Source organism: Homo sapiens, chromosome 9 (assembly GCF_000001405.40).
Source record: "Homo sapiens chromosome 9, GRCh38.p14 Primary Assembly".
Taxonomy (NCBI): Eukaryota; Metazoa; Chordata; class Mammalia; order Primates; family Hominidae; genus Homo; species Homo sapiens.
In genome coordinates this window covers 104,501,324-104,515,969 of record NC_000009.12, presented here as the reverse complement: position 1 = coordinate 104,515,969, position 14,646 = coordinate 104,501,324, and the positions used below count along the sequence as shown (strand labels likewise).

At 37.4% G+C, this 14,646-nt stretch overlaps 1 protein-coding gene across 1 annotated transcript; it reads right to left on the bottom strand.

The window, feature by feature from the left end:
- Positions 1-10,747: 10,747 nt before the first annotated feature.
- Positions 10,748-11,707, bottom strand: OR13F1 (olfactory receptor family 13 subfamily F member 1). Its single transcript, NM_001004485.1, has one exon. It carries the CDS (start codon positions 11,705-11,707, stop codon positions 10,748-10,750), a length of 960 nt encoding a protein of 319 aa, NP_001004485.1.
- Between the last annotated feature and the right edge of the window lie 2,939 nt (positions 11,708-14,646).

Genomic DNA, 14,646 nt, shown 5'->3' with positions numbered 1-14,646 from the left:
ACTTTCTCTTTTATTCCAATATTTATAACATTAAATGTGTATTTCTATTTGCATGCATTGGATTATCCATAACAATTAATGTTAAATAATAATGGTATTAGAAGCTATCCTTGTCTTAAACCTAACTTTCACAGGAATGTGTTTTAAAATGGAGTGTGATATGACTCGTGGTTTGAAAGTATATTTCTTTCTTACATTGAAATTTTATTTTATTTATAATTTCAACTTTTATTTTAGACTCAGGGGGTATATGTGGGGGGTACATGTGAGGGTTTGGGGTATGATTGATCCCATCACCCAGGTAGTGAGCATAGTACCCAACAGTTAGTTTTTCAACCCTTGTGCCTCTTTTTCCTGCCCCCCTCTATTACTTCCAGTGTTTATTCTTGCCATCTTTATGTCCATGAGTACCCAAAGTTTAGCTCCCACTTATAAGTGAGAACATGTACTATTTGGCTTTCTGTTCCTGCATTATTTTGTTTAGCTTAATGGCCTGCAGCTGCATCCATGTCCCTGCAAATCACATGAGTGCATTCTTTTTTATGGCAGTGTAGTATCCCATAATGTATATGTACCACATTTTCTTTATCAGTCTCCCAGGGATGGGCACCTAGGTTGACTCCATGTCTTTGCTGTTATTAATAGTGCTGCAATGAACATGGGAGTTCACGTGTGTCTTTTTGGTAGAACGATTTATTTTCCTTTGGGTTATATCCAGTAATGGGGATTGCTGGGTCAAAGAGTGGCTCTGTTTTAAGTTCTTTAAGAAATCTTCAAACTGCTTTCCACAGTGGCTGAACTAATTTAAGTCCCCACACGAATGTATAAGTGTTCCCTTTTCTCTGCAGCCTTGACAGCATCTGTTGTTTTCTGACTATAGCCATTCTGACTGGTGTGGGATTGTATCTCATTGTGGTTTTGATTTGCATTTCTCTGATGTTTAGTGATATTGAGCGTTTTTTTAATGTTCATTGGCAACATGTATGTCCTTTTTTGAGAAGCATCTGTTCATATCGCTTGTCTATTTTTAATGGGGTTATTTGACTTTTTCTTGTAAATTTGTTTAAGTTCCTGATAGATTCTGGATATTAGACCGTTGTCAAATGCACAGTTTGCAAATATTTTCTCCCATTCTGTAGGTTGTCTGTTTACTCTGTTGATAGTTTCTTTTGCTGTGCAGAAGCTCTTTAGTTTAATTATGTCCCACTTAATCAATTTTTGTTTTGTTGCAATTGCTTTCAAGTGCTTAGTCATAAATTCTTTTACAAGGCCAGTGTCCGGAATGGCGTTTGCTTCAAGGTTTCTTATAGTTGGAGGTCTTACATTTTATTTTTTCAAAGATCCTCCATTGCAACAGGATTTTCAAATTAATTAATACACACTGTATTTATAACATTTTCTCATTCTAAAAATTATATCTTTATATGTCATTCTACTGCTTGTATTGCTCACAATTTAACACATTTCTATTTTTTCTTTTTATTTTAAATGAGCTAACTAAAATTTCATTTACTGTTAATTTTTTACGAATTCACCTGAGTTAAATTTTTTGTTTTCTAATATCTGCTTTTGGTTCATTTGACAAATATTTATTTAAGGTACTTTTAAAATCTTCAGCACTGTTGAAGAAACTGGGGATTCAGGATAGTATAGAAATGGAAAGGTTGGTGTTCTCTTGAGACTTACAGTTTACAAATGGAAACACAAAATACCTAAATAAATAAATAATAGCTGATATAACTTCACACATGTGGTAGTTCCATAAAAAAAACTGAATCAAAGTGTATTGAGCCAATGCCATTTTAAAATAGAAGCCTTTGTTGTTATTAATTTCTTTCTTACCTTAGTTTATTTGTATACCTTTTATAAAAGAATTAGTTGGCTAATATACATGATATATTATATGTATATTATACATATGTTTTCTTTTATAACTTTTAAATAATTAATTTATTTAAAATTGCTAGTCCAGCAAGGAGATATCTTCAAGTTCAATTGCATGACAGCCTGAAAGATTATTCCTGAAGATGTTTAGAAGGAGGAAGTGTGTGCTATGCTACCTGGATTCATACCTCAGCATTTCCCCATCTCTATCAAGAGAATACGGGGATGCCAACCCCCAACTCCATGCAGTCTAAAATCTGTGTATAACTTTTGGCTTCCCCAAAACTTAACTACTAGTAGCCTGCTGTTGATTGGAAGCCTTACTGATAACAGAAATACTTGACTAACATATATTCTGTATGTTATATGGATGATAGACTACATTTCTGCAATAAATTAAGCTAGAGAAAAGAAAATGTTTTTAAGAAAATCATAAGGTAAAGAAAATGTTATTAAGATAATCATAAGGTAAAGAAAATATATTTAGTATTTATTAAGTGGAAGTGGATCATCATAAAAGTCTTCATCCTCATGTTTTACATGTTGAGCAAGCTGAGGAAGAGGAGGAAGAGGAAAGGTTGGTCTTGCTGTTTGAGGGGTGGTAGAGGTGGAAGAAAATCCATGCATAAGTGGACCTGTGCAATTCAAAGCCATGTTCAAGGGTCAACTATTGCGAATACTCAAGGGCTAAGGTGGACATTGATTATGATTTGTGTTTTAGTTTAAGTTATCCCTAAATTTGCCCAGTCTTCGTAAGTAAACCACAGTTTACTTACTAGTCCAACCCCAGAACCTTTTGAAGAACCTGGGCTCCACAGTTTTTCCAGCAGAGCTGCTTTTTAGTGAAGCTGAGAGGGAAACATGAGTTCAAGGACATTCAGCTAATTGTGAGAATTAGAATAACATAATGGTTAAGTGAAAGGGTCTGTGTCGAATTGGTTGGATTCCAGCTCCACCACATACCTGATTTGTAAACAACCTAAGCCATTTAATCTCTTTTTACTCAGGTTGCTCATTTGGAAAGTGGAAGTGACAATATGGTTGATGAAATGGAATAAAATATTACCAATACCAACTCTAGCATTATTGCTTGTATTAAATTACTGCGTGTAAAGAATTTAGAAGAGTGTCTAGAGCACAGTAATAACTCAATAAGCATTCTGGATTTTTACTATTTATTATTATTACTTATAGTATTATCACTGCAGCCAGGACCCTGTTCCACGTGTATTTCAGTTGTTCTTTCCTTATGTTGCTAACACCTTGTAAGTAAATCATTCTCCCCTGTAAGCTCCTGCTAGCCTTCATTTCTGTGGCATTCAAAGCCTTGCCTTTGTTTCCTGATTAATTTTTTTCCACACTATATAGCCATCTTTCTCATTACAATGCAATTATTTGTGGTGGGACCATGTTTCTTTGGTGATATGGAAGCCACTCTGTATTGATTTGCTTCTGTGCTAGTTGAGAGCCAGTTGTAGCTGTTTAGGTAATCAGGTCGCCCTCGATCCTAAAAAGCACTATAAGAGGAATTATCAGTTCATCCCCATCTCCCTTGTGCAGGCTCCAATCTTTGAAAATACTTCAGTGGTCTTTGGGGAAAAAAATAAGTTGCAAAGTGAAGCTGAAGCAAGACTCAAGACAGTTGAGAGACAGTGTCAAACAATAAAAGGGTGATGATTTTAAAGTCACAGGTCGAGTTTTATGAATTATTGTGCCACTAGCTGCCTGATGGTCTAGGCCAGATTGCATCACTTTTTTGGACTTTAATTTTTTATTAGTATAAAATAATCTACCATTCAATGAGAAATGATGGATAAACAAAATATGATGCAATTTATAATCTCAACAAGATATCACTTTAATTTGACTTACCATTACATGGATTTAGAATTACCATAGTTTAGATCATATCTCCAAAGATAGTTCTGCTAAGTCAGACATTTTCTTTTTTTTTTTTTGAGATGGAGTCTTGCTCTGTCACCCAGGCTGGAGTGCAGTGGTGCAATCTCAGCTCACTGCAACCTCTGCCTCCCCAGTTCAAGCGATTCTTCTGCCTCAGCCTCCCGAGTAGCTGGGACTACAGGCGTGCACCACCACACCTGGCTAATTTTTGTATTTTTAATAGAGATGAGGTTTCACCATATTGGCTGGTCTCAAACTCCCGAACTCGTGATCCGCCCACCTCGGCCTCCCAAAGTGCTGGGATTATAGGCGTGAGCCACTGCACCCGGCTGACATTTTCTTAATGTAGATTTGGTGACTCATGACTGCACATATTACATTAATGATTTTTTTTTTTTTTGGAAACAGAGTCTCGCTCTGTCACCCAGGCTGGAGTGCAGTGGCACAATCTTGGCTCACTGCAAGCTGCTCCTCCCGGGTTTACACCATTCTCCTGCCTCAGCCTCCAGAGTAGCTGGGACTACAGGGGCCTGCCACCACGCCAGGCTAATTTTTTTTTTTTTTTTTGTATTTTTAGTAGAGACGGGGTTTCACCGTGTTAGCCAGGATGGTCTTGATCTCCTGACCTTGTGATCCGTCCACCTCATTAATGATATTTCACAGTCACAATTAGACATCCATCTAGGAAAATATACTTGTACTAAATGTGATTACTAATGTGAGCAAGGGCAGCAGTTGATCAGATGATTTTACCTTTTTTTGGAGACTCTTCATGATATTTCAAATCTGAGATGTAATTTTGGTGGACTTAAACACTTCAAAAAAATAACCCTTTCATTAGCAATCTTTTGCACCATCCACAACTAAGAGTATATCTGGGTTTGTTCACATATCATTTGATGACATTTAGTCACAGGCATAGGCAGTGAGAAGTCATTCTGGTGGCACTGACTAGTAGATCCTGTGTGCCCTTGTCAGGGCCTTGTGCATACACCCTGCTCTCCAGCTCGGCTCTGGGAAAAGCAGGGTATACTAGCTTTGTCTGACTGTAGATGGAAGATTAAAATTAAGCGTAACAGTAGTTTGAAATAGCCCATGTCAGTGACTTGGCCTGCCATACTGGCCTGTGTACAATTTCCTCGGTCATTCTACCATGCTTATCCCCTCATGGTCACAACGTAGTGACCACATTCAAGGCAGATGCTGCCTTTAGGCCCCTTTGTATTAAAAGCAAAACCCTTCCCAGAGCCCCTAGAAAACTTACACTTATTCTTATTGACAGGAACTATTTCCATGAGCACCCCAGCTGCAAGTGAGGCTTAAAAAGATAATAGTAAGCCTTTCTGACTTTTAGAGTAAAGGTGCCAAGGGAGAAGGAAGTCAGCAGTGGGTGTTAAGTATCATAGAAATGGATTCAAGAAAGATCCCTAAGGCAAAATTATGTAGGGCAGAGGATGTGTTCAGTCATTATCCTGCATGGAAAAAGCAAAGTCAAGAATCCTTAGTCACCTGGACCATGTTCTCTCCCTCCTTTGGGTCAGGAGGAGCTAGAATAGATCCAGTTTGACTTTGCAGAATGCATAAACTGCTCTGTATTTATTAACAAAGAAAAAAGGAGAGAAGATCCAAGTAATCACAAACAGAAATGACAAAGATGACATTATAACTGTTGTGACAGAAATGCAATAGATCCTCAGAGACTATCCTGAACACCTCTATGCACACAAACTAGAAAATTTAGAGGAAATGGGTAAATTTCTGGAAACATACAACCCCCCCAAGATTGAATCAGGAAGAAACTGAAACCCTAAACAATCCAATATTGAGTTCCAAAATTGAACTGGGAACCAAATACTTACCAATCAAAAAAAGCTCTGGACTAGATGGATTTACAGTTGCATTCTACCAGATGTACAAATAAGAGCTGGTACCAATTCTACTAAAACAATTTTCATAAAATCAAGGGGGACTCCTCCCTAACTAATTCTATGAAGCCAGCATCACCCTGATAACAAAACCTGGCAAAGACATGATGCAAAAAGAAAACTACAGGGCAATATTACTGAGGAGGAAAGATGCAAAAAATCATCAGCAAAATACTAGCAAATTGAATGCAGCATATATCAAAAAGTTAATTCGTCACAATCAAATAGATTTCGTTCCTGGGATGCAAGGTTGTTTCAACATATGCAAATCAATAAATGTGATTCACCACATGAACACAATTAAAAACAAAAACCATATATCATCTCAATAGATGTAGACAAAGCCTTTGGTAAAATCCAACATCTCTTCATGATAAACACCCTCAACAAACTAGGCATCAAAGGGACATACCTCAAAATAATAAGAACCTTCTGTGACAAACTTAGAGCCAACATCACACTGAATGGGCAAAAGTTGGAAGCATTCCCTTTGAGAACTGAAAGAAGACAGTGATGCTTACTCTCACCACTCCTATTCAAGATAGTACTGAAAGTCTTAGCCAGAGCAATCAGAGAAGAGAAATAAAAGACATCCAAATAGGAAAAGAAGTCAAAATATCTCTCTTTGTTGATTATACGACTCTATACCTAGAAAACCCTAAAGATTCTGCTCAAAGGGTCCTGGAACTGATAAACAACTTCAGTAAAGTTTCAGGGTACAAAATCAATGCACAAAAATTAGTAGCATTTCTATACACCAATAGCATTCAAGCCAAAAGCCAAATCAAGAGTGCAATCCCATTTACAATAGCCACACACAAAAATAAAATACCTAGGGATACATCTAACCAAGGAGATGAAAGATCTCCACAAGGAGAACTACAAAACACTGCTGAATGAAATCACAGATGATACAAACAAATGGAAAAACATTTCATGCTCATGGATTAGAAGAATCAATATCGAAAACGGCCACACTGCCCAAAGCAATCTATAGATTCAATGCTATTCCTATCAAACTTCCAATGTAATTTTTCATGGAATTGGAAAAATTATGCTAAAATTCATATGGAACCAAAAAGACCCTGAATACCCAAGGCAATCTTAAGCAAAAAGAACAAAGCAAAAACAACATCACATTACCCAACTCTAAAAACTATACAATAAGGCCACCATAACTGAAACAGCTTGGTACTGGTACATAAACAGACACATAGACCAGTGGAACAGAATAGAGAACCCAGAAATGAAGCCACAGACCTACAGCCATCTAATCTTTACAAAGTTGACAAAAATAAACAATGAAGAAAGGACTCCCTTTTCAATAAATGGTACTGGGATAGGTGGCAAGCTACATGCAAAAGAATGAGACTGGACTCCTACTTTTCACCATACACAAAAATGTACTCAAGATGGATTAAAGATTTAAATGTAAGACCTCAAACTATAAGAATCCTTGAATAAAACCTAGCAAACACCATTCTGGCCATTGGCCTTGGGAAATAATTTATGACCAAGCCCTCAAAAGCAACTGCAACAAAAGAAAAATTGATTAAGTGGGACCTAATTAAACTAAAGAACTTCTGCACAGCAAAAGAAACTATCAACAGAGTAAACAGACAACTTACAAAATGGGAGAAAATATTTGCAAACTATGCATTTGACAAAGGTCTAATATCTAGAATCTATAAGGAATTTAATTCAACAAGCAAAAACCAAATAACCCCATTAAGGAGTAAGGAAAAGACATGAACAGACACTTCTCAAAAGAAGACATACACATGGCCAACAAAGATATGAAAAAATGCTCAACATCACTAATCATAAGAGAAGTGCAACTCAAAATCACAATGAGATACCATCTTGTACCATCAGAATGGCTATTATTAAAAAGCCAAAGAACAGCAGATGTTGGCAAGGCTGCAGAGAAATGGAAATGCTTAGAGAGGGAATGCTTATACATTGTTGGTGGGAATGTAAATTGGTTCACCCATTGTGAAAAGCAGTTTGGAGATTTCTTAAAGAACTTAGAACTACCATTTCACTCACCAACCCCATTACTGGGTTTATATCCAAAAGAAAATAAGTCATTCTACTAAAAAGATGCATGCACTTATATGTTCATCACAGAACTATTCACAGTAGCAAAGACATGGAATCATCCTAGGTGCCCATCCTAGGTTCCCATGGTGGATTATGTAAAGAAAATATGGTACATATATACCATGGAATACTAGGCAGTCATAAATAAGAACAAAATCATGCCTTTTGTAGCAACATGGATGCAGCTAGAGGCCACTCTCCTAAGCCATTTAATGGAGAAACAGAAAACACATGTTCTCACTTGTAAGCGAGAGCTAAAAATTGGGTACTTATGGTAACAATAGACATGGGGGATAATAGAGGAGTGAGGTATGGATGCAAGGGATGAAAAACTAACTGTTGGGTGCTGTGCTCATTATCTGGATGACAGGATCATTTGTATCCCAAACCTCAGCATCACGCAATATACCCCTGTAAGAAACCTGCATATGTACTACTTGAATCCAAGATAAAATTTGAAATGAAAAAAATAAAAATAATAAATCATCCCACTTTGTGTACATAGAGAAAAATATCACATTGTATCCCATAAATGTATACAATTATTATTTATCAGTCAATGATAATATTTTTAAAATGTTGTAGTGGTGGGGGCTGGTCATCATGGAATAATGAAGATGTAATCAGGACACAGTTCAGGATTACATATATAGTTCCATCCTTGGGAGGAAAGCAACGAAAACATACTTGGGTTATGTAGAAGTTAACTCCATCTTGGCTTTGTTTGGACAAGATGACTCTTGCAGATGTAGCTGAAATCTGAGGACTTTTTCTAGGCTTGTGGGGGTCCAACCAGGTAGATAAGGCCATTTTGTTGTTTTGCTTCTGGACAGCTTGTTGGCTTGTCCTACACTGCAATTCCTAATTTAGTTCATTGCATCCCTTAAAAACACTGATTAAGACTTTGAAGAAGATATCACATGCCTAATACATGCCCACTGGAGCTGATGAAACATAAAACTTTAAATTCAATACAATTTTTATAGGTTTTTTTCCACCCATATAAACACATAAGATGAATTATTGTGTGCTTAATGTTTGTGATTACCTGGAATTAGTTTTTTTTTCTAAAATTGGTGTAGAAACTGAGTGGTTAACAGTTTTAACATCCCTTCCTCCTCTTCAGCCAAATAACAGCATCATGCTGTGGTCACTACTGCCTGATCCTGAAATGTTTAAGTAAGGATGGAAATAAAAATAACTGTGTAGCTTTGATTTTTAATAAAAATTTCCAGTACCTACCTTTGTAGAGATTCTGAATAGAACTGGGAATCTGATACTTGAGTAAGAAAAGTGTTCTGATGTGTGCTAACAGCACTTGGATTAAGATCACCAGCACACTTCCTACTCATTGAATTCTTTCCTTCTACATGGTTCCATTCCTAATCCATTCATCTACAACTGAGTAATTTCTTGCAAGCTCTGTCTTGCTCAGTCTGGGACCTCTTGTAATCATTATCTGTAATTGCATCATATTCCCTACACCTAAGGCTTAGGAAGGTTATATGTATGCAGCAAGAGGTACCTTCTCCCTAGGATAAAGCCATCACCCACATAAATCCAAGGAACCTTCTCTGATAAAGAACTAATGTGTGCACATTGGCCTCAATACTCTATAGCTCCAGAGAGGGTGGAAAAGACAAGGAAAAGTACATCAATATGTAACATTGGTAAAATTATAATTTATGTAATTTTGCTCACATATATTTATGAATCTGTTTCTACAATATGTATCTGCATTCATATATTATTTATCTTGCAATATAATTTCACTCCTCAGCTTTAATTAACTGGTCAATTCAGCATGCTTTAAGAAAAATAATAACATGATAGGTGTGTGTTGATGAATTCACTGAGACAATCAAAGTACAATATAAGTATATTCTAATCTTATATCCATAGATACTTCAGGATCTCCCAATTGTACCTCTATTCCACCTCATACATAGGATTACAATAGTGCCAACCCTTGTTATGATATATTTGCACACACACAGATATTTTATCATCCCCCACATATAACATTCCAAATAAAGAAAATCACTCAGCCGGGCGTGGTGGCTCACGCCTGTAATCCCAGCACTTTGGGAGGCCAAGGCGGGCGGATCACAAGGTCAGGAGATTGAGACCATCCTGGCTAACAAGGTGAAATCCTGTCTCTACTAAAAATACAAAAATTAGCCAGACTTGGTGGTGGGCGCCTGTAGTCCCAGCTACTCATGAGGCTGAGGCAGGAGAATGGCGTGAACCCAGGAGGCGGAGCTTGCAGTGAGCTGAGATTGCGCCACTGCACTCCAGCCTGGGTGACAGAGCAAGACCCTGTCTCAAAAAACAAAACAAAACAAAACAGAAAAACCCAAAATCACTCATATTTCATTACAGTTAAAACCATGTTTTTTCCACTTTAACATGTTGGAAACTAGGAAGAGTTCCAAAATTGATGCTGTTTTGGTTTTACAAATTATTAGGGGTGTGTGTGTGTGTGTGTGTGCATGTGTGTATACTTTGAGTTGTATCCACACTAATTAAAAAACATATATTCTTTTTAAATTGAGGGGAAATTGTGAATTATTTGGAGTAAATTATTTCAAAATTGACTAGTCTCAAAATTTTACAGTTTTGGCATATTTATTGTTATTATGCTTATGTCACAGCTGGACACTGAGATGCTATAGAAAGTAAATATGAAATAATAGGCAATTATCTAATTTTAATGTTATACTAATATTCAATAAATGCTAATTGCTTTCTTGGAAACTTAATTTATTCTTCATAAATGATTTGTTAATATGAAAAGTTTTACTTATAAGACAAATCAGAATAGAGGATATAATAGTAAACTTCTATTGAAAATAAGTAGTTTCCAGGGTTGGTTTAAGTAAACTATTATGCAGTTTTCTGGGTAATGTTGATTATCTATATGAGTGTGATTGTTATTTGAGGATGGAAATGAAGGCAGTATTAAAATGATTTCTAATCAGCAATTTTTTCAAGGCCACTTTCACCTCTTTGTTCCGTAGACTATAGATGATAGGATTCAACATGGGGGTTTGTCCGGCATACACCAAAGCCATAAATTTGTCTATTTCCTGTGAATCTACAGCGGAGGGCTTCAGGTGCATGGAGAGAGCCGTCCCATAGAACAAAACTACCACCATCAGGTGGGCTGTGCACGTTGAAAAGGCTTTACTTCGACCTTCCACTGAGCTGATTCTCAGGATACTGGCGAGGATAAATGCATAAGAGATACAAATGAGTAGCATTGGCATGGGGAGAAGAAGTACACTGATCACCAGCATGATTAACTGCACCAGGGAGGTGTCCACACAAACCAATTTCAAGATGGCCAGAATTTCACAAGTGAAATGATTGATGATGCTATTACCACAGAGAGACAGTGGCAGCACAGACATCATTTCCACCATGGCAGTGAGACAGCCTGTCATCCAGGAGCCAGCTGCAATCTGCACACAGGTTCTCCTATTCATGATGACAGGGTATCTCAGGGGGTTGCAGATGGCCACATACCGGTCATATGCCATCATGGGCAGGAGCACACACTCAGTGGAGCCCATGGCAAGGGAGAGGTACATCTGAGTGGCGCACCCTGAGAATGAAATAGTGTTTCTCCCTGAAACAAAGTTTGCCAGCATTGGAGAGAGGGCAGAAGAGGAGTACCAGATGTCCAGAAAGGAGAGATTGCTGAGGAAGAGGTACATAGGGGTGTGCAGGTGGGAATCTAGAATGGTGATGGAGATCAGAAAAATGTTGCCCAGCAAGGTGATCAGGTACATCAGCAAGCACACCGCAAATATGATGACCTGAACTTTGGGGTAGTGAAAAAATCCCAGGAAGAAAAATACTTTTACAGATGTCCAATTTGCCGGGAACATTTTTTTATGTTATGTTCACCTGTACGTATGCATAGAAGGATTAACGTCACACATATATAAAACATAACCCCCTCCTTCACATATCTGGCATGTTTTATTTATATGAACTTGTGTTCTGTTCTTCAATGGTTCTCTAGGTTAGTGATAGTAATATATATTGAAGAAATTTGTCACTAATAAGAAAAATTTAAGCAGGAAGTCAACAGATACATCCTTAAAATGTTACTTTTGCTGTAAGATTTTCTTTTGGCAATGTGAGGGTAGGAGGATGGTGTATTTAATCGGTATCACAAAAGAATGAGAAAAGAAACAATATTTTGCATTCTTTCTTTTTCCAAAACCACATTTTAACTGATCTATTTACCTCTGTACCATTGGCATGATTTTCTTCCTCTGATTTGGTAATAATCTTCTTACTTAGGAACTGTTTGGATTTCCAAGTTCACAGTTTCTTCTGCCATTCCTAGAGATATATCCAAAATAATTTGGAAGTCTCAGGGAATAAAGGCAAAAAAAGGTATAGATTTCTGCAGCCATAAAGTAACAGAGACTTTGGACACTTAGAAACAAGCCCAGAGTTTCCTTCTCAAACTCAGGAAAATGGTGACATGTGTCTCATGCTAGGAGACACATGGCAGATACTTCTTTCATCTTGCTGTTGTCCTGATGTTTGTGCTGCAGAAACATCCTGCAAAGAACCAGCCATTGGCAGTGTAGGGCAATTTAAGCTATTTGTTCCTTTTGAAAAGTCTTCAATTCATGCAGCAAATTAAACATCTATTTGTATAGTATTACAAATTCTAAAACTCCAGGGACAGTGTCCCATAAACCCAATTATAGTCAGTAGCTTGTCTTGTCTAACTGTAGGGTTATTCAAACAATACATAAACATGTTTCCTGTCTACATTGTCTTTGGGAAGGGGAACTTTACTCTTCTCCCAATAGTGTTATGAAGTCAGGCTTGTTGATTTAAATGAAGTTAAAAATAATGGATAATGTTGGTAGTTTCTCCTTCAGATTGTAGGAGAGTTTTATAATATCAATGAGATCAAGTTGTACTTGATATGGAGCCTACCAAAGACAGGGGAATGCGTGCTTAAGTAACTTTTCTATTGTTCAATATGGCTTAAAGAGAAGGCCATTGAGGGCAGATATTTCTCATAGAACATGAAGGTCCATTTGCTTTCAGAAACACTTTTTCTTTTGGGAAGTGAGCTTCACCCTATAAAGGCATCGTTACCCTTCAGAAATCCACTGATGGTTCTATCTATTTGAGTGATGCTTTATAATCCCTGTTCACAACTTGTCTGTTTTCCAAGTGAGAGATGAATGGTTAACAGTGTATGGTGGCGTGGGGAATGCATATTGTCAATGTCACCACTGTACAATAGTGATTGTATAACTTGCTTCTTAGTAGCAGATTGTAATCATGGCCATTACTGAATTGTTTTATATCACATCAAATATTCTTCATTCTCAGAGAAGGTCATAAATTTGAATGATTGCCAAGATTTTTCAAAGCACAGTAAAAAAAAATCTCTTCGCTAGTTAGTATTTGCAATCAGAATGCATCTTTTAGGTCTGTCATGTACTCACTCCAACAGAGATAGAACTTTCATGGCCTTAGGATCATGCATATGGTTCCCTTCTTTAACTATAGGAAAGCTTGGTGCACAGGAAAGACTAGGGTCTTTGTGCAATAAACACTTTCCACTTTACCACTTCATTTTTGTCACCTAGAGCAAGTTGATGATCCTCACTGAGATTCAGATTATTTATAAAAGGGCAATGACAATATTTCTTTATCAGAGTTGTTTTGAGGAATAGAGATATTTCATGTCAAGCAACTAAGACTGTAGTTGATGTACAGTAGGTAATTAATAAATGTTAGATTTTTCCCCATTCTGTGGTTTTTGACTTGCTTCTTCAATCATCTTTTTTCCTTGTATTTATTCTCCCTTTTCATTATTTCCCTCTTTGACTATGGCAATGCCCTTCCTTTGCTTTTCTCATTTAGACAATATTTGCTGCAACTGCAATACAAATGGTTAAAGCAAAAGAGAGAAAAGAAATGGACTAACATCTGGCCCCGGAATCCACTTTTCCTCGAATTTGTTTATCTGACACTCCTTCTGACTTACCTGTCCAGTTCCTATAGACCAAAGCTTGTGAGGCTCAAAGTGAATCATTTAGGTTACTTGATTGTGCTTGGGGGAAGGGTTAGAAGAGTACACTATTGGCTGGGCGCGGTGGCTCATGCCTGTAATCCCAGTACTTTGGGAGGCCAAGGCAGGAGGATCATGAGGTCAAGAGATTGAGACCATCCTGGCCAAAATGGTGAAACCCCGTCTCTACTAAAAATACAAAAATTAGCTGGGCATGGTGGCACGTGCCTGTAGTCCCAGCTACTAGGAGGCTGAGGCAGAAGAAAGAAGAATTGCTTGAACCTGGGAGGCGGAGGTTGCAGTGAGCTGAGATCACGCCACTGCCCTCCAGCCTGGCGACAGAACGAGACTCCATCTCAAAAAAAAAAAAAAAAAAGAACGGTACATTATTTTAGGGCTACCCACAAAAAGATGATGTGGATGCAATGAATAAGTCTCAGAAAGGTTGCCAGTATTATTTCCCACTCTTTATGCAGCAACAGACTACATTTCTGCTTTGGAGATACTTCAGAAAATGCTGAAAAGAAGAAATACTGAACCTCCATGGAATTTTCTCTCTGATGGTAAATTATTCTACTATAAAGACACATGCACACATATGTTTATTGCAGCACTGTTCACAATAGCAAAGACTTGGAACTAACCCATATGCCCATCAATGATAGACTGGATAAAGAAAATGTTGCACAGATACACCGTGGAATACTCTGCAGCCATAAAAAAGAATGAGTTCACGTCCTTTGCAGGGACATGGATGAAGCTGGAAGCTATCAT

Excerpts from the sequence above, each read along its gene's own strand:
- OR13F1 (NM_001004485.1), bottom strand. The coding sequence starts at position 11,707 with ATGTTCCCGGCAAATTGGACATCTGTAAAAGTATTTTTCTTCCTGGGA.